Raw genomic sequence first — 21,216 nt, 5'->3', positions numbered from 1 at the left:
CTCCTGGGCTCAAGCAGTCCTCCTGCCTCGGCCTCTCAAAGTGTTGTGATTACAGGCATGAGCCACTGCACTTGGCCTTAACCATTTTTAAGTGTACAATTCAGCAGTGTTAAGTACATTCACATTGTTGTGTAGCCATCATTGCCATCCATCTCCAGAACTCTTCACCTTGCAAAACTGAAACTCTGTACCCATGAAACAACAACTTTGATCCTATTTTTAAAGGAAGCAAGATTTCAGCTGGGCATGGTGTCTCACGCCTGTAATCCCAGCACTTTGGGAGGCCGAGGCTGGTGGATGGCCTGAGATCTGGAGTTCAAGACCAGCCTGGCCAATGTGGTGAAACCCTGTCTCTACTAAAAATACAAAAATTAGTTGGGCATGGTGGCGGGCGCCTGTAATCCCAGCTACTCGGGAGGCTGAGGCAGAATTGCTTGAACCCGGGAGGCAGAGGTTGCAGTGAGCCGAGTTCGTGCCATTGCACTCCAGCCTGGGCAACAAGAGCAAAACTCCGTCTCAATCAATCATTCAATCAATCAATCAATAAAGGAAGCAAGGTTTAAGGAGACAGGAGAAGTAACTGAACAGGTACGCACACATGCAAAAGCCAGGCTGAAGCTGCATGTGGTGGTGCACACCTGTAGTTGCAGCTACTTAGGAAGCTGAGGGCCACATGAGCCCAGGAGTTTTGAGACTGCAGTGAGCTATGATGGTGTCATGCATTCCACCCTGGGAGACACAGCAAGACCCCATCTCAAAAAAAAAAAAAAAAAAAAAAAATTGGCTGAATTGGAGGCTTTTAATGGGAAGAAGTAATGAAGATATCAGAAAGGTATGTTGAGGATAGACTGGATGGTCTTGGATATTAGGCTCAGGAATTTGGCCTTTATTTTGCAGGCATTGGGAAGCTGTGACCACCTCTGAACAGGATGAATAAAGCCTGGCCTCATATAGTCTTCTGATTGGTTGCCATCTCCCTCTCTTCTTAACTTCACATTGCTCCATATTACTAACATATTAGCTTTCCTCAAACATTCCTGCCATTACCAAATACTGAGTACAAATAATGGCAAATGCTTAATAAATATTTGCTCTTTGCTTTAGGGAAATTACTCATGAAATGATTTGTGAGGTAGACTAGACAAGGAAAAAGAACAGGGAGAGGGAATAAAGATCTCAGAACAAAGGTCTCTGAGGAAAAAAAAAAAAAATTAAAAAAAAATGCCGAGTGTGGTGGCTCACACCTGTAATCCCAGCACTCTGGGAGGCCAAGACCGGTGGATCACCTGAGGTCAGGAGTTCAAGACCAGCCTGGCCAACATGGTGAAACCTCGTCTCTACTAAAAATACAAAAATTAGCTGGGCGTGGTGTTGGGCATCTGTAATCCCAGCTACTCAGGAGGCTGAGGCAGGAGAATGGCTTGAGCCCAGGAGGCAGAGGTTGCAGTAAGCTGAGATGATGCCACTGCACTCCAGCCTGGAAGACAGAGTGAGACTCTGTCTCAAAAACAAAAAACAAACAAACAAAAAAAATACAGATGGCCAGGCCAGGCATGGTGGCTCACACCTGTAATACAGCACTATGGAAGGCTGAGGCAGGAGGATTGCTTAAGCCCTAGAGTTCAAGACCAGACTGGGCAATGTAGTGAGACCCCCCCATCTCTACAGGAAACAATAAAATACAATAAAAATGGCAGTTTCTCAGTTTGCTGTGCTGGGTTCTATGTGGTCACTGTCTCTTCAGAATCACTGATGGCCAGGTTCACTCTTCAAGACTGGAAGCAGCACGCACAAGGATGGGATTTTCGAGGCCAGAACTCCAGGTATTTTTAATTTTTTTTAATTTTAAAATTATACAGGGGCCAAGCACGGTGGCTCACACCTGTAATTCCGGTACTTTGGGAGAACATGGCAAAACCCTGTCTCTACTAAAAATACAAAAAATCAGGCTGGGCGCGGTAGCTCATGCCTGTAATCCCAGCACTTTGGGAGGCCAAGGCAGGTGGATCACCTGAGATCAGGAGTCTGAGCCCAGCCTGGCCAACGTGGCGAAACCCCATCTCTACTAAAAATACAAAAATTAGCCGGGCATGGTTGTGTACACCTTTAATCCCAGCTACTAAGGAGGCTGAGGCAAGAGAATTGCTTGAACCTGGGAAGCGGTGGTTGCAGTAAGTCAAGATTGTGTGCCATTGCAATCCAGCCTGGGTGACAGCAAGACTCCGTCTCAAAAAATAAATAAATAAATAAATAAATAAGTAAATAAAAAGTAAAAAAAATTAGCTGGGTGTGTTGGTGCTCACCTGTAGTCCCAGTTACTCAGGAGGCTGAGGTGGGAGGATCACCTGAGCCCGGGAAGTTGAGGCTGCAGTGAGCTGTGATCGCACCATTGCACTACAGCCTGGGTGACAGAGCAAGACTCCGTCTTAAAAAAAAAATTATTTTTTTTAGGGATATGTGATCACAGCTCACTGTAACCTTGAACTCCTTACTTCAAGCAGTCCTACCACAGCCTACAGGTGTGTGCCACCCCCTGGCTAATTTTTTAAAATTTTTTGTAGAGATGGGGTCATGCTATGTTGCCCAGGCTGCTCTCAAACTCCTGGCCTCAAGTGAGCCTCCTGCCTTGGCCTCCCTAAGTGCTGGGATTATAGGTGGGAGCCACTGCATTCGGTTGCATTTCTTTATTTAATTACATCTTGATCTTTTCATATCAATATACATATCCTCATTATTAACTGTTGCATAGAACAGCATAGTGTGGGTGTAGTTTATTTAGCTATTCTTTTTTTCACGGAAATTATGATTGTTTACAGTTTTTTGCTATTACCAAGAGTGTTGACAGTGAACATTCTTGTACACACCTCTTTATACATACATATGTGTATTATTTGAGAATAGAGAAGTGGGATTGCTGAGCTGAAAGATATGCATTTGTTTTTTTGGGTTTTTTTTTTTTTTTTTGAGATGGAGTTTCGCTCTTGTTGCCCAGGCTGGAGTAAAATGGCGTGACTTGGCTCACTGAAACCTCTGCCTCCCTAGTTCAAGCAATTCTCCTGCCTCAGCCTCCCAAGTAGCTGGGATTACAAGCACCCACCACCACGCCCAGCTAATTTTTTTGTATTTTTGGTAGAGACGGGGTTTTACTACGTTGGCCAGGCTGGTCTCCAACTCCTGAACTCATGATCCACCCACCTCGGCCTCTCAAAGTGCTGGGACTACAGGCATGAGCCACCACACCTGGCTGAGTTTTAATTTTTGATGGAGTCAAATTCATTAGTCTTTTTTTTTTTTTTTCTTTTGTCTTAGTGGCTCTCTGACTTGGGTTTTCTGGGTTTTTTGTGATTTATTTATTTCTTTTTTCTTCTTCTTCTTCTTCTTTTTTTTTTTTTTTTTTTTTTTGAGATGGAGTCGGTCTCTGTTGCCCAGGCTGGAGGGCAATGGCATGATCTCGGCTCATTGCAACCTCTGCCTCCCGGGTTCAAACGATTCTCCTGCCTCAGCCTCCTGAGTAGCTGTGATTACAGGCGTGCGCCACCACGCCCAGCTAATTTTTGTATTTTTAGTAGAAACAGGGTTTCACCATGTTGGTCAGGCTGGTCTTGAATTCCTGACCTTGCGATCCGCCCGCCTTGGCCTCCCAAAGTGCTGGGATTACAGGCGTGAGCCACCGCAGCCGGCTGTGATTTATTTCTTTTTTGAGAATATCTTTCTGGGACTAGGCGTGGTGGCTCACACCTGTAATCCCAGCACTTTAGGAGGCCAAATGAGGAAGACCACTTGAGGCCAGGAGTTTGAGACCAAACTGGGCAACACAGGGAGACCTCATATTTGCAAAAAAATTTTAAAAATTAGCTTAGCAGGGCCGGGCGTGGTGGCTCACGCCTGTAATCCCAGCACTTTGGGAGGCCGAGGAGGGCGGATCATGAAGTCAGGAGATTGAGACCATCCTGGCTAACATGGCGAAACCCTGTCTCTACTAAAAATACAAAAAAATTAGCCGGGAGTGGTGGCGGTCTCCTGTAGTCCCATCCACTAGGGAAGCTGAGGCAGGAGAATGGCGTGAACCCAGGAAGTGGAGCTTGCAGTGAGCCGAGATCCTGCCACTGCACTCCAGCCTGGGCAACAGAGTGAGACTCCGTCTCAAAAAAAAAAAAAAAAAATTAGCTTAGCAGCGCAATGGCTCACGCCTGTAATCCCAGCACTTTGGGAAGCTGAGGCGGGTGGATCACTTGAGGTCGGGAGTTCGAGACCAGCCTGACCAACACGGAGAAACCCCATCTCTACTAAAAATACAAAATTAGCCTAGCATGGTGGTGCATACCTGTAATCACAGCTACTTGGGAGGCTGAGGCAGGAGAATCGCTTGAACCCAGGAGGCAGAGGGTGCGGCGAGCCAAGATTGCACCATTGCACTGCAGCCTGGGCAACAAGAGTGAAACTCTGTCCCAAAAAAAAAAAAATTAATTAATTTTAAAAATAAATAAAAAATTAGCTTAGCATGGCACATGCCTGAGTCCTAGCTATGCAGGAGGCTGAGGTGGGATGATAGCTTGAGCCAAGGAATTCAAGGCTGCAGTGAGCTGTGATCAAGCCACTGGACTCCAGCCTAGGAGACAGAACAAGACTCTGTCTCAAAAAAAAAAAAAAAAAAAATTCTTCCTTACCCAAGCTTATAAACATATTTACTTGTATTTTCTTCTACTACTTTTACTGACTTTTGTTTGTTTATTGGTTTTGTTTGTTTGTTTAAGATGGAGTCTCGCTCTATCACCCAGTCTAGAGTGCAGTGGTGCGATCTCAGCTCACTGTAACCTCCACCTGCTGGATTCAAGCAATTCTCCTGCCTCAGCCTCCTGAGTAGGTGGGACTACAGGCACATGCCACCATGCCCGGCTAATTTTTTGTATTTTTAGTAGAGACGGGGTTTCACCACGCTGGCCAGGCTGGTCTCAAACTCCTGACCTTGTGATCCACCCACCTCAGCCTCCCAAAGTGCTGGGATTACAGGTGTGAGCCACCACGCCCGGCTATTTGTTTTTTAAACATATAGTTCTTTGATCTACCTGGATTTGTGTGTGGGTTTTTTTTTTCTTCCTCTAAATTTTGTGAATGGTATCCTCAAATTGGATAACTGGTGGCTCAACACTTTATTGATGAATCCATCCATTCTTCATTTATTTAAAATGTTACATATACTAATCAGGGTTTTTAAGGACTCTTATTTGTTCTTTTCATCTATTTTTTTGTAGTTCCACAAATAACAAATTATTTTAAATCCCCAAGCTTTATAATGTGCCTTAAACAATCTAATAGGGTAAATCCTGCCATATTACACTTTTTTTGTGGGGTGGGGGGTGGGGAAGGAGTCTCACTCTGCCGCCCAGGCTGGAGTGCAGTGGTGCGACCTTGGCTCACTGCAACCTCCGCCTCCCAGGTTCAAGCGATTCTCCTGCCTCGGCCTCCTGAGTAGCTGGGATTACAGGTGTGTCCACCATGCGCAGCTAATTTTTATATTTTAGTAGAGACGGGTTTTCACCATGTTGGCCAGGCTGGTCTTGAATTCCCAACCTCAGGTGATCCGTCAGCCTCAGGCCTCCCAAAGTGCTGGGATTACAGGCGTGAGCCACGGTGCCTGGCCATATTATTCTGTTTTTGTGCACTGTGTCCTGCAGATGAATTTTAGAATTAGTGAGTCAAGTATCATGCAATCAAAGCATGTTTGGATTTTGGTTGCAATTATATTGCATTTATAAATTAATTCAGGGAGAACAGACTTCTGTACAGTACTGCTTTATCATCCAGGAAGGTAATATGGCTCACCAATGGGTTTGTTCTTTCCCACTCTTCAAGTTTTATGCTGTTCTCTTTATGGAAACAGTATGAACAGCACGCTGTAGGGTTCGGTTTATCCTTAGCTGTCTTATGCTATTTGTCGTCCTTTTGCATGGGATCGTTGCTGTTTTTTTTTTTTTGAGACAGAGTCTTGCTCTGTTGCCCAGGCTGGAGTACAGTGGTGCAAACTAGGCTCACTGCAACTTCTGCCTCCCGGGTTCAAGCGAGTCTCCTGCCTCAGCCTCCCGAGTAGCTGGGATTACAGGCACGCGCCACCATGCCTGGCTAATTTTTGTATTCTTAGTAGAGACGTGGTTTCATCATGTTGGCCAGGCTGTCTCGAACTCTTGACCTCGTGAGCCGCCTGCCTCAGCCTCCCAAAGTGCTAGGATTACAGGCGTGAGCCACCACACCTGGCCTAAGTTTTAATATATAGAAAGGCAGGCCTCACGTCACTATCCTTTTTGATGTTTATATTTTGGCGATACTTGGACATTTTCTTTTCTAATATATTTTTAAAATAATTTAATTCAAATCCCAAAGATAATCCATTGATATTCTGACTAGAATTACATTAAATTTATATATTAACATTGTAAGAATGTGAATAAATATACATATATAAATACATATGTAAATATTTAAATTTCTATATTGGAATTTATAGATGCTATAGGTAGTATTAAATTTATATATGAACTGTATGAGGATTTTTAAATCTCTATCAAGGAACATGGCACAACTCTCCATTTATTCAATTCTTGTTTTATGTTCTGCATTAATTCGTTTTATCTTTTAAAAACTGTTAAAAGAAAAACAGGAAGCACTAAAAGTTGTTCAAAATAACAACAAATGTTGTATTCTGTAGTATTTGTGTTTAATGGGCTAGTGTGTTAGGTGAGTATCACTAGGTGCAGAAAGCGATCATCAGATTTTTTTTTTTTTTTTTTTGAGACGGAGTCTCGCTCTGTCTCCCAGGCTGGAGTGCAGTGGCAATCTCGGCTCACTGCAAGCTCCGCCTCCCGGGTTCACGCCATTCTCCTGACTCAGCCTCCCGAGTAGCTGGGACTACAGGCGTCTGCAACCACCCCCGGCTAATTTTTTGTATTTTTAGTAGAGGCGGGGTTTCACCGTGTTAGCCAGGACGGTCTCGATCTCCTGACCTCGTAATACGCCTGCCTCAGCCTCCCAAAGTGCTGGGATTACAGGCGTGAGCCACCGCACCCGGCGTGATCATCAAATTTAGCTTGTGTATATCTTTTATAGTGAACTAGAATATTTTAATGCAATCTTATTTTCACGTGAATTTTTGAATTGAGATACAGTTTGAATAACATAAAATTCAACCCTTTAACGTGTACAATTCAGTGTTAGTATACTTTAGTATTCAGTGTTTTTGAGTTCATGACCAACATAGTGAAACCCAGTCTCTTAAAAAACAAAATTAGCCAGGTGTGATGGCACACCCCTGTAGTCCTGGCTACTTGGGAGGCTGAGACAGGAGGATCATTTGAGCCTAGGAGTTCTAGGTTACAGTGAACTATGATCACACCACCATACTCCAGCCTGGGTGACAAGGCAGGACCCTATGTTAAAATATTTTTAATATATAAAATTGTTTTTAAAAAAGAAAGAAACCCTGTACCATTAGCAGCCACTGCCCACTCCCCACTTCCTCTAGCCTCTGGCAACTACTAATCTGCTTTCCATCTCAAAATGTGCCTATTTTAAATGTTTCACGGAAGTGGAATCCTACATAGGTGACCTTTTGTGTCTGGCTTCTCTCACTTAGCATAATGCTGTTGAAGTTCATTTGCCTTGTAGCATGCATCAATACTTTGTTCCTTTTTTTTTTTTTTTTTTTTTTTTGTGACTGAGTCTCACTCTGTTGCCCAGGCTGGAGTACAATGGTGCAATCTCAGTTAACTGCAACCTCCGCCTCCCAGGTTCAAGCAATTCTCCTGCCTCAACCTCCCAAGTAGCTGGGATTACAGGCATGTGCCACCACGCCCAGCTAATTTTTTTCTATTTTTAGTAGAGAGGGGGTTTCACCATATTGGCCAGGCTGGTCTTGAACTCCTGATCTTGTGATCCGCCCGCGTTGGCCTCCCAAGGTGTTGGAATTACAGGCATGAGCCACTGTGCCCGGCCAGGACTTTGTTCCTTTTTATGGCTGAATAATAAAATGCCGCATTTTGTTTATTCACCAGTTGATAGACATTTGAGTTGTTTCTACTTTGAGGCTATTATGAATAATATTGCTATGAATACTCATTTACAAGGTTTTGTCTGAATGTTGTCCATTCTATGGGAAATGTACCTAGGAGTGGAGCTGCTGGGTCATGTGGTAAATCCTTGTTAAAATTACTAAGAAAACATCAAACTGTTTTCCATAGCAGCTGCATCATTTACATTCCCACCAACAATGTATGAGGGTTCCAATTTCTTTACATCCTCACCAACACTTATTTTTTATTATTTTTTTGAGACAGGGTCTGGTTCTGTCACCCAGGCTGGAGTGCAATGGCAAAATGCAACCTCTGCCTCCCAGGCTCAAGCCATCCTCTCACCTCAACCTCCCTGGGCAATTTTTGTATTTTTAGTTCACTATATTGCCTAGGCTGGTCTCGAACTCCTGACCTCAAGCCATATAATATTTTATAATTTTTTTCAGCCTTTTTCACTTTTGTGGTTATATATCCATCTGTTCCCAATAACTGCACTTTTGTTTTCTTTTTTCCTGAATTAGACTTGCAGTATATTGGCTTATTTCATTTTTCAAAGAAAACTTATTCTTTCCACTATTTTTTGGTTTCACTTATTTAATCTAATCTTATATCTCTATTAAGTCCCTCTTGCTATTGGTTTCTATTTTTGATTTTCTCAAATTGAATCATGTAGTTCACTTATTTTCAATCTTTTAAAAAATTAAGCATTTAAGACTACAAATTACCTAAATACAGATCCCACATCAAGTGTTAATTTGTATTACTTTCTAGATAATTCATAATACCAATTTTGATTTCCTCTTTGATCTAGGGGTTATTTAGGAAGGGGCTTCTTGATTTCTGAGTTGTGTTGTTTATCCCCCTCTTTAGTAATTTTATTATTTACTTGCATGTTATTTAATTATGATCCAAGAATGTGGCCTATTAAATCTCTACAGTAGGGAATTTATTAGGGATTTCTCTGCTGGGTGCAGTGGCTTATGCCTGCAGTCCCAACGTTTTGGGAGGCCAAAGTGGTCAACATAGCGACACCTCGTCTCATTAAAACAAACAAACAAACAAACAACAACAAAAAGAACGGCAGGATGTGGTGGCTTACGCCTGTAATCCCAGCACTTTCGGAGGCCGAGGCAGGCAGATCACCTGAGGACAGGAGTTTGAGACCAGCCTGGCCAACATGCTAAAATCCTGTCTCTACTGAAAATACAAAAATTAGCTGGGCGTGGTGGCGCACATCTGTAATCCCAGCTACTCGGGAGGCTGAGGCAGGAGAATCGCTTGAACCCGGAAGGCGGACAGTGAGTCAAGATCATACCACTGCACTCCAGCCTGTGCAACAGAGTGAGACTCCATTTCAAACAAACAAACAAACAAAACCCACAAAAAACCGGGGGTGGTGGCACATGCCTGTAGTCCCAGCTACTTGGGAGGCTGAAGCAGAGGGTTCCTTGAGCCCAGGAATTTGAGGCTGCGGTGAGCTGTTATCACACCACTGCATTCCAAGCCTGGGTGACAGAACAAGACCTGGTCTCAAATAAATAAATAAATAAATGGATTTATCAGTGGCCAATAAACAGTCAACTTTTGTAAACATTCTATCACATAAGTGAATGTTTGCTTTATTCCAATATTTGATGTTATTTTTTGCCAACTCAATTTTTCAAAATTCTGGAAGAATACTGAGGCCTCCTACTATTATCGTGGTGTCTTGTTTGTTTTTGTCTTTTAATAAAGGTCTTGTATGTCTGGGAGGTTTTGTTTTATGTATCTGGCTACTGTGATGTTGGGTGCCTGTCATCTCATGGAGTGAACCTGTTAACATACCCATCTTTGTCCAATTTAATGCTTCTTGGTGTCATATTGGGTTTGGCCTGGATTTCTGGTGTTGCTCTTCCTTCTTTTTGTTCTCCTGCTACATGGTATATGGTTCATCCTTTTATTTTTAGCCTTTGTTACTTTTAGATGTAGCTAGATTTTGTTTTCTAACACATTGATTTCACAGTCTGTTTTGGTCTGGAAATTCAGCCTGTTCATATTTTTTGAAGTAGCTCTGATTTTATTCTTTTTGTATTACTTCTATTATATTTATTACATTTTATACTATTTTCCTTTTTTCTTACTTTTGCAGTCTTTTAAGTTTTTCTTCATTTCCTGCTTTCCTCTTTGTTAATTGAGATCCCATGCTTTTTAGTTTCAGCTCTGGAACTGTATACCTTTCAGTTCCTCACAATCCAGACTGCAGCCCATCAGTTGTCTATTTGTCACCCTGCACCATGCAGCTTTACCCCCAGCCCAGCTTCCCCTTGGCCGCAAAGGACACCTTTTTTTTTTTTTTTTTTGATGAAGTCTCGCTCTGTTGCCAGGCTGGAGTGCAGTGGCACAATCTCGGCTCACTGCAACCTCTGTCTCCTGGGTTCAAGCGATTCTCATGCCTCAGCCTCCCGAGTAGCTGGGAGTACAGGCGCGCACCACCATGCCCAGCTAATTTTTGTATTTTTAGTAGAGACGGGGTTTCACCATGTTGGCCAGGATGGTCTTGATCTCTTCACTTCATGATCCACCCGCCTCGGCCTCCCAAAGTGCTGGGATTACAGGCATGAGCCACCACGCCCGGCCTGGTTTTTTTTTTTTTTTTTGAAACAGAGTCTCACTCTGTAGCCCAGACTGGAGTGCAATGACACAATCTTGGCTCACTGCAACTTCTGCCTCCTGGGTTCAAGTGATTCTGCTGCCTCAGCCTCACAAGTAGCTGGGATTACAGGCATGCGCCACCACGCCTGGCTAATTTTTGTATTTTTAGTAGAGACAGGGTTTCGCCACGTTGGCCAGGCTGGTCTCGAACTCCTGACCTCAAGTGATCCGCCAGTCTCAGCCTCCCAAAGTGCTGGGATTACAGGTGTGAGCCACGGTGGCTGGCCCCAAGAGGAGACTTTTTGAATACTTTAATCTCCCCCTTCTCACTGGGAATTTAGGAATTTCGCAGCATATTTGTGCATCTGTTTTAAAAATCAAAGCTGCCTAGGATTTGGCGGGCTCTTTCAGTGTACTCAGTCTCCTTCAGATTACGGAAGTTCTCCTTTATTACCTTCCTGCTTTTGCTCCTTCTGGAACTTCCATTATTCACGTTGGCTCTCCTTAATGTGTTTTCAAATCTCTTTCCCACCCTTATTTCCATTTCTTGGCTTTTTAACCTCTTTGTTCTGCAATATATCTTCTACTTGATATTCCACATTACTAATTTGGTCACCACGGAGAAGTGTGCTTTTTTGTCTGGGTCAGTGCCCGGGCTTTCACTACTGTTTCTGATAAAGTCTCTTCCATTTAATTGCTACTTCAGTGAGATCTGCCCTATTCCCCTCCTTCTGAGCCTCCTCAGGTGAGGGTTCCCCTTTTGTATTGTGTCTGGTTGCTCTCGATTTTTGTGTTTTCTTAATGAGTCAGGGCTGCTGAGTAGTAGCCAAGCGGGGAGTGGTTGAAGTTGGCAGTTTCTGCTCTCTGGACCGAGGTGAGAACTGGCAAACCATCAGCCCTTGCCGAGGATGGGGTGGGTGGGGGATTGTTTGCAGGTCTCTCTGACAAGGGGTGACCCTCTCCTGACTTCAGCACACCCACCCCAGCCTGGTCACTCTCCAGGTCTCTGAGCAAGTGGGATTGCTGCCCCTCCCAGAGGATTCTTAATTCACTGAGATCCTTTCTATTTGGGCAGTTGGAGGAGAGGATTCTCTCTCTTCTTCTTTTTTTTTTTTTTTTGGTGTTCCTTCAAGGAACCATGAAATTCTGATTTTTGCTCCAGGCTTTGGGGCTACTGCTGCCTAGTTTTGCAGGTTGTTAACCAAACAAGAGCATCTGGCTAAGTGGATGCTTAAGTCTCTGCTCCTTCTACAAGGCTGTTTGTGGCTGTCCCTGGGGAGGGAGTGTGTTTGCAGGCAGGAAAGACTACTTGTTGATAATTTGCACGAGGACACTCTTTTCTTGCCAGGACAAGTGTCCCCAGGGCTGCATTGAATCTGGAGGGTACTTTTCTCATGAAGGCACTGCTAGTGGCTGCCCTAACTGGCCTCCAGGGGCTTCCTTCCCTCCTGTGCTGCAGTCCCTTGGCTCTCTGCTGGTACCAAGGAGAGCCTAGTTCTGGTCTGTCCTCTTTCCAGAACCCAGAGTAGAACCTGCAGTCTCAGATGCAGCAACCCTCTTTTTTTTATTTTTTAAATCTTATTTATTTTTATTTTATTTTATTTTTTTGAGATGGAGTCTCCCTCTATCGCCAAGGCTGGAGTGCAGTGGTGTGATCTCGACTCACTGCAACCTCCGCCTCCCGGGTTCAAGCAATTGTGCCTCAGCCTCCCAAGTAGCTGGGATTATAGGCGTGAGCCACCGCACTGGCCGACTTCTACTTAATTATTTCAAAAAAGTTGGAATGTACAGTAAAACAAAAGAGGCAGGAAATGTTTTAAGTCTCACCATCCAGAAACAAATATTGATAATTTTGTTCATCTTTCTAACCTCTAAGATTAATATATATATATATATATATATATATATATATATTTTTTTTTTTTTTTTTTTTTTTGAGGCAGTCTCATTCTGTGGCCTAGGCTGGAGTGCAGTGGTATGATCATGGCTCACTGCAGCCTCGACCTCCTGGGCACAAGTGATCTTCTCACTTCAGCCTCCTGAGTAGCTGGGACTATACATACACCCCACCAAGCCTGGGTAATTTTAAAATATTTTGAAAAGATGGGGTCTTACTATGTTGCTCAGGCTGGTTTCAAACTCCTGAGCTCAAGTAATCCTCCTGCATCAGCCTCCCGAAGTGCTGGGATTACAGGTGTGAGCCACTGCACCTGGCCTATACACACTTTTTTTTTTAGATGGAGTCTCGCTCTGTTGTCAGGCTGGAGTGCTGTGGCGCAATCTCGGCTCACTGCAATCTCCGCCTCCCAGGTTCAAGCAATTTGCCTACCTCAGCCGCCTGAGTAGCTGGGACTACAGGTGCCCGCCCCCATGCCCAGCTAATTTTTGTATTTTTAGTAGACACGAGGTTTCACCATGTTGGCCAGGATGGTCTCGATCTCTTGACTTGTGATCTGCCCGCCTCAGCCTCCCAAAGTGCTGGGATTACAGGCGTGAGCCACCGCGGCCGGGCCTATAAACACACTTTTTAAAAAACTTCACATGATATCAAAATTCTCACATCCAAATGATCCATAAACAACAACAACAAAGTCCTTTACAATTATAAATGTTCATTGTTGAAAGATTACCTTGCCAGCTAGTATTTATCTTTTGGATATATATCTTTTGATATATATGTATTTATTTATATACTTGTGTATATATTTATTCAACAAAAATGGGATTGTGCTATTCCTAACCCGCTTTTAAAAATTTAATAGTGTGAACGTTCTTCCTTGTTACAAAACACAACTGCATCACTGGATTTTTCCAGTTTTGCTATTATAAATAATACAATGATAATCTTTGTGTGTATAATTGTTGTTGTTTTTTTGGAGACAGGGCTCTGTCGCCCAGGCTGGAGTGCAGTGGCGCGATCTCAGCTCACTGCAGCCTCCGCCTTCTGGGTTCAAGCAATCCTTGTGCCTCAGCCTTCCGAGTAGCTGGGACCACAGGCCTGCGGCACCATGCCTGGCTAATTTTTGTATTTTTAGTAGACACGGGGTTTTGCCACATTGGCCAGGCTTGTCTCGAACTCCTGGCCTCAAGTGATCCACCCTCCTTGACCTCCCAAAGTGCTGGGATTACAGATGTGAACCACTGCGCCCAGCCAGTGTGTATATAATTTTGATTTTCTAAGTATTCCTTAGGTCATAGAATATGCATATTTTAAAAGCTCTTAGCAGAGTTGCTGTTCAGAAAGGCTGGGTGAGTGTCTGTCTTCCTAGTAACAGGGCAGGGGTCAGCCTGTCCTACCACACTCTCCTACTGCACTCTAGCCAGTGTTAGTAACGTGCTTCTGGTCACATTTTCACATGAAGGCTATTAGGAGCTATTGACAAAGTTTAAGTAGACAAATCACATAACCAGATTTGCATTTTTGATTCCGGCTTCAGAGCCTAATAGCTCTATTAGTCTTATGTGGCCCCTAGGAGGCATTCAAGATAATGGTGACACTAAGCAAAGGAGGGCAAGTTGAGGTGGAGTGTCTGAACAAGCAGGTCTCTAACCTGCAGCTATGGAGAAGCAATTCAGTGTTTCCTGTGGCGGGTGGAGGGCATACTTACCCAGCAGAGCATGTGAGACTCTTTGATATGCACCTTCATGTATTATCTTGTTCAGTTCTCTGAGGTTGGGATCATTATTATTTCCCATTTTGCAGATGAGAGAATTGAGGCAGAGAAAGGTTCAGCACCTTGCCTTTGGTTACACAGCTGGTCATTCTGGCTTCAATCGCAGGACTACCAGCCTGTGCTCTTCACCACTTAGCTTCCCTGACTCAGGCCACTTCCCTGGAGCGTTAGCTGGATTCTGAGAGTAGTTTCCAAGCCAGAGCTTTCAGAGAGCTTTTGTTCGTAGGACAATTTTAAGACATCAGGTTCTTGAATGTTTTGTGTTTTTTTAAGTCTCAGATTTATCTTCCTACTTCCTACTTCTCCAAAAAGACTGAGAGCTGACATATTTGATTGTAAGCTCTTTGAGGCAGAGTTCTTGTAATCGTCTCTGTATAAAACAGTGCCCACCCCAGTGACCTGTACTTGGATGCTTCAATCAGAGCTGTCCTGTTAAATAGAGCAAGTTTTTCCTAGACCCACATTCTGATACAAGAAAAATCAAAGGAATTATGATTGAACCAATTCAACACACACTGTTGCATTTTGTGTATGTGTTTTTGGTGAACCTGCTTTGGAAACAATGTAAAAGTCACATCTGTGGAGTGTTTTTAGAGCACTTTTATGTTCATTTATGATAATAGGGACCTGCCCAGGCACTGGGCTAGGTGTTCCACATCTACTGTGTCATTATGTAAATTGTTTTTCACAAGAACTTGAGAAGCTAGCAGTGTAGCTATTATTATCCTTGGGGTGGTTTGTTTTTGGTTCTTTGGGTTTTTTCCCAGGGGAAGAAGCTGGAGTTTGGACAGCCCCTGGCCTACATGGGCTCCCTTTTGCAGAGGCTGCTCCAGCGGGGATCTCCTTGAGCTCAGGTAAATAAGCCAGTGCCAGGCCAGGTCCTCTGCACTCCTTTGTCTATTTTCCCCTTTGTTCCTTGGATCTGAAAACCCTTCAAGGCTTCAGAGGAAGCTCAGTGAGTTGATTCTCATGTACCGGGAGAAGATAATGTAGAGGCGGCGGAACCAGAGGAGCTGGCTGCGGTGGCAGGACATGGCTTTCTAGAAGAATCAAAGAGAACCAGTTATGAAACAGTTGCACTGGAGTTGTTTCATTACTTTCAGATCTGGCCTCCGCACCTTAAATCCTTCCTCGAACTAATATGCTTCATGCTATAGCCTTATCTGTCTTCTTCCTGTAACCCACGAACCTCTCTGGATTGGCCTCCTGTCATGGCCCCTGCTTTCCCATCTCCTACTACCTGTGATTATAACACACAATGCTCACCGTAGCTACAGCACTCACCATGGGATACCAGAAAACTGGCAGAACAGTCCACATGCATCATCTCAATGTTAACAACCCTGTGAATCAAGTACTGTTATTACTGTTTTTTAAAAAATAAATAGATGAGGAAACTCGTCAGTCTCAAACAGCTAGTAGGTAGTAGAGCTGGCTGAGATTTTAACCCAGAGCCAACTGATTGATTCTAGAGTCCACATTCTTTTTTTTTTTTTTTTTTTTTTTTGAGCCTGTTGCCCAGGCTGGAGTGCAGTGGCGCGATCTTGGCTCACTGCAAGCTCTGCCTCCTGGGTTCACGCCATTCTCCTGCTTCAGCCTTCCGAGTAGCTGGGACTACAGGCACCTGCCACCATGCCTGGCTAATTTTTTGTATATTTAGTAGAGGCAGGGTTTCACTGTGTTAGCCAGGATAGTCTCGATCTCCTGACCTAGTGATCTGCCCACCTCGGCCTCCCAAAGTGCTGGGATTACAGGCGTGAGCCACCGCGCCTGGCCAGTTAGAGTCCACATTCTTAATCACGTTGCTACTACCTCAAATATACAACACAAACAGGGATGTTTCATGGGAAGAAAGCTAGTACACTATGCCCAAATTCCTCTGAGTTAGGTCGTTTGGGGAGGTCCAATCACTATCAGAAGAAGAAAAAAAGGAATGGCACACAGGTGTGAGTTGTCGTTCCTATCTTCTAGGGGAAATGTACATTATCTTGTTATTCAGACCTAGTATAGTTCAGTTTTTAAACAGAATAGATTACAGCAACTGACTTCACTAGATATACATAAAAGGATGTGCCTGTTTATCTCTAAGTACCATAATTAACTTGCCTCTCTAAGCTAATATCTTCACAAACTTTTATGTAAATAACCCCTTTTATATTCATTGTCAGACCCTACATGACTTGCCAGGTATGGAGGCTCACGCCTGTAATCCCAGCACTTTGGGAGGCTGAGGTGGGTGGATCACCTGAAGTCGGGAGTTCGAGACCAGCCTGACCAACATGGAGAAACTCTGTCTCTACTAAAAATACAAAATTAGCCGGCGTGGTGGCGCATACCTGTAATCCCAGCTACTCGGGAAGCTGAGGCAGGAGAATTGCTTGAACCCAGGAGGCGGAGATTGCAATTAGAGGAGATTGCAATTAGCGGAGATTGCAGTGAACCGAGATCGCCACTGCACTCCAGCCTGGTGACAGAGCGAGACTCCGTCTCAAAAAAATAAATAAATAAATATAAAATAGAAGATAAAGGGAAAACCATTACAAAAGAGAGACATTATAAGATAATAAGACGAATTGGCTAGGCGCAATGGCTCATGCCTGTAACCTCAGCACCTTGGGAGCCCGAGGCAGGTGGATCACTTGAGGTCAGGAGTTTGAGACCAGCCTGACCAACATGGTGAAACCCTATCTCTACTAAAAAAAAAAAAAATCCAAAATTAGCTGGGCATGGTGGTGCACGCCTGTAACCCCAGCTACTCAGGAGGCTGAGGCAGGGGACTCGCTTGAACCCAGGAGGCAGAGGTTGCAGTGAGCCAAGATCGCATCATCGCACTCCAGCCTGGGCAACAAGAGCAAAACTCTGTCTCAAAATAAATAAATAAATAAATAAGAGAAATAATCTGCTAACAAATATATCAGCTTTGGGCAGGGCACGGTGTCTCATGTTTGTAATCCTATCACTTTGGGAGGCTGAGTTGTGCAGATCACCAGGTCAGGAGTTCAAGACCAGCCTGGCCAACATAGTGAAACCCCATCTCTACTGAAAATACAAAACAATTAGCCAGGCTTGGTGGTGCCGGCCTGTCTGTAATCCCAGCTACGCAGGAGGCTGAGGCAGGAGAATCACTTGAACCCAGGAGGCAGAGGTTTCAGTGAGCTGAGATCTTACCACTACACTCCAGCCTGGGCAACAGAGCGAGACTCTGTCTCAAAAAAAAAAAAAAAAAAAAAGATCAGTGTTACGAAAACCATTCACTGACCACAAAGTAATTAAATTATAAATTAACAATAAAAAGGCCCCATACACGGCAGGGCACAGTGGCCCACACCCGTAATCTCACCACTTTGGGAGGTTGAGGTGGGAGGATCACCTGAGGTCAGGAGTTCGAGACCAGCCTGACCAACATGGTGAAACTTCGTCTCTACTAAAAAATACAAAATTAGCCAGGCGTGGTGGCACCTGCCTGTAATCCCAGCTACCTGGGAGGCTGAGGCAGGAGAATCGTTTGAACCTGGGAGGTGGAGGTTGCAGTGAGCCAAGATCGCACCATTGCACTCCAGCATGGGCACCAAGAGTGAAACTCTGTCTCAGAAAAAAAAAAAAAGACCACATATACACACACAGCCATGCCATTCTCATTTGTGGTAGTTCTACAAAGTCACTGAAAACACTGAATTAGTGAATACTGAACCATTGTTTCTAGTGGAAATACAGGGTTGGGTTCCTCCAAGCCTTTGGCCACAATATTTTCATCAATCAGTCAATATATAACCTTGTTTTGTGTATATTTCTGTTTAAAAACTCCATATGAAATACATGTTGTTGATTCATTAGCACTGAACTCATGGCCAATGGCACTGTAACTCATGCTTGTGATCAAACCCACATAAGGCACATTACAGCCTCTTGTGCTTAGGAATGCAAGACAGCACTCAGCATCATCCTTAGAGGCTATTTTAAACAGCAAAATCAACAAAAACCACAAAAATGAGAAAAATGGGGCATTAAATATACACAAAAAGGTATTTTTTTACAGTAGGAGAGCTGAAACAGCTGGGAACATGCATATGTGCATCCAGTGACTCATGTTTCACCCCTCTGCGAGTGTCCACGAATGACTACAAAAGCACTTCGAGCACTGACTTTGGAGTTACAAATGAATTTTAGTGAGTAGGTGCATTCATAAATATAGAACTACAAATAATGAAGATCGACACATGTTTGTAACTGTAAATTATACCCTCAAAGATTAAAGGGGAACTCACAATGGAGTCTATAAATTACTTATAATTAAATGACAATAGGAGAACTACATATCAAAACTTATCATGTGTAGCTAAAGAAACACTTCAAGGAAAATTAATAGTATTAAAGTATTTTTTTTTTAAAGATTGAAAATGAAAACAAAGCTAACCTTTCAAGTTAAAGAGATTTAAAGAAGAACAGGCTGGGTGCGGTGACTCCCGCCTGTAATCCCAGCACTTTGGGAGGCCAAGCCGGGTGGATCACTTGAGGCCAGAAGTTCGAGACTGGCCTGGCCAAACATGGCGAAACCCAGTCTCTACTAAAAATACAAAAATTAGCCGGGCGAAGTGGCGGGCCCCTATAGTCCCAGCTACTCAGGAGACTGAGACAGGAGAATTGCTTGAACCCAGGAGGTGGAGGTTGTGGTGAGCCGAGATCGCTCCACTGCACTCCAGCCTGGGTGACAGAGCAAGACTCTGTCTCAAAAAATAAAAATAAATAATAAATAAATAGGCTGGGTGCGATGGCTCACACCTGTAATCCCAGCACTTTGGGAGGCTGAGGTGGGCGATCACCTGAGGTCGGGAGTTCGAGACCAGCCTGACCAACATGGGGAAACCCTGTCTGTACTAAAAATACAAAATTAGCCAGGCGTGGTGGCGTGTGCCTGTGATCCCAGCTACTTGGGACGCTGAGGCAGGAGAATCGCTTAAACCCGGGAGGCGAAGGTTGAGGTGAGCCGAGATTGCACCATTGTACTCCAGCCTGGGCAATAAGAGCGAAACTCCGTCTCAAAAAAAAACCATAAAATAACAGTAAAAAGAAAGAAAGAAAGACAGACAGACAGACAGAAAGAGGGAGGGAGGGAGGAAGGAAGGAAGGAAGGAAAAGAATAAAACCATAAATGAAGTAGGACAGAAATAATAAAATACAAAAACGAATGCACTATTGAAGAAACAAGATAATTAATATGTGCTCAACACTGCACTCTCAGTACCTAGCAAAGTGCCTCTTATTAGGTACAAAGGTTTACTGTAGAAAATTTAGAAAATATGGGCCGGGCATGGTGGCTCACGCCTGTGATCCCAGCACTATGGAAGGCCAAGGCGGGTGGATCACCTGAGGTCAGGAATTCAAGATCAGCCTGACCAACATGGCGAAACCCCGTGTCTACTAAAAATACAAAATTAGCTGGGCATGGTGGCCCATGCCTGTAATCCCAGCTACTCGGGAGTGTGATGCAGAAAAATCACTTGAACCCAGGAGGTGGAGGGTGCAGTGATCTGAGATCGCACCGTTGCACTCCAGCCTGGGCAACAAGAGCGAAACTACATCTAAAAAAAAAAAAAAAAAAAAAGGCCCGGCGCAGTGGTTCATGCCTGTAATCCCAGCACTTTGGGAAGCAGAGGGGAGCGGATCATTTGAGGTCAGGAGTTCAAGACCAACCTGGCCAACATGGTGAAACCCTGCCTCTACTAAAAATACAAAAATTAGCTAGGCGTGGTGGCATGCGCCTGTAGTCCCAGTTACTTGAGAGGCTGAGGCAGGAGAATTGCTTGAACCTGGGAGGCAGAGGTTGTTGTGAGCTGAGATCGTGCCATTGCACCCCAGCCTGGGTGACAGAGCAAGACTCTGTCTCAAAAAAAAAAAAAAAAAAAATGGCCAGGCACAGTGGCTCATGCCTGTAATCCCAGCACTTTGGGAGGCCGAGGTGGGTAGATCACCTGCGGTCAGGAGTTCGAGACCAGCCTGACCAATATGGTGAAATCCCATCTCTATTAAAAATACAAAAATTAGCTGGGCCTGGTGGCGTGAACCTGTAGTCCCAGTTACTGGAGAGGCTGAGACAGAAGAATTGCTTGAACCTGGGAGGTGGAGGTTGCAATGAGCCGAGATTGTGCCACTGCACTCCAGCCTGGGTGACAGAGGAAGACTTCATCTCAAAGAAAATTTAGAAAATAAAGCTAAACAAAAAAACCCCAAAACCAAAATCATTATCCTGAGTTTCTATTCTCTTAGATTTTCCTTCCTTCCTTCCTTTCTTCCTTCCTTCCTTCCTTCTTCTTTTCTTTTCTTTCTCTCTCTCTCTCTCCCGCTTTCCCTCCCTCCCTCGTTTCCTCCCTTCCTTCCCTCCTTCCCTCCCTTCCTTCTTTCCTTCCCTCCCTCCCTTCCTTCCTCTCTCCTTTTCTCTCCCTCCCCTCTCTTTCTTTCTTCCTTCTTTCCTCTCTCTCTTCCTTCCTTCTTCCTTCCCTTCCCTTCCTTCCTTCGCTTCCCTTCCTTCCTTCCCTTCCCTTCCCCTTCCTCCCTCCCTCCCCTCCCCTCTCCTCCCCTTCCTCCCTCCTTTCCTTCCTTCCTTCCTTCCTTCCTTCCTTCCTTCCTTCCTTCCTTCCTTTTCTTTCTCTCACTCTCTCCTTCTCTCTGTCTCTTTCTCCCTTCCTTCCTCTCTCTCCCTTCCCTTTCCCCTTCCCCTTCCCTTTTTCCTAATAAAGCTGTGTTGCCCAGGGCAGACACAAACTCCTGGGCTCAAGCCATCCTCCCACCCCAACCTCCCAAGCAGCTGAGACTACAGGCACGAGCCACAATCCCCGACTTGGTTCTTTCAC

The 21,216-nt window shown here is 44.3% G+C and overlaps 1 protein-coding gene across 2 annotated transcripts in view; it reads right to left on the bottom strand.

Annotated features, from left to right (window-relative positions):
* The window catches only part of PIGL (phosphatidylinositol glycan anchor biosynthesis class L), a 109,202-nt gene continuing 102,782 nt past the window's right edge, over nt 14,797–21,216 (bottom strand). For both annotated transcript variants that reach the window (NM_004278.4, NM_001411072.1), the window contains one exon: nt 14,797–15,408. In NM_004278.4, the coding sequence (NP_004269.1) occupies nt 15,310–15,408 (99 nt within the window). In that variant the 3' untranslated portion in view covers nt 14,797–15,309. The remainder of the gene's footprint in view (nt 15,409–21,216) is intronic.

Source organism: Homo sapiens, chromosome 17 (assembly GCF_000001405.40).
Source record: "Homo sapiens chromosome 17, GRCh38.p14 Primary Assembly".
NCBI classification, from domain to species: domain Eukaryota; kingdom Metazoa; phylum Chordata; class Mammalia; order Primates; family Hominidae; genus Homo; species Homo sapiens.
The sequence above is the reverse complement of the archived record's forward strand: the minus strand, read 5'-3'. Positions and strand labels throughout refer to the sequence as shown.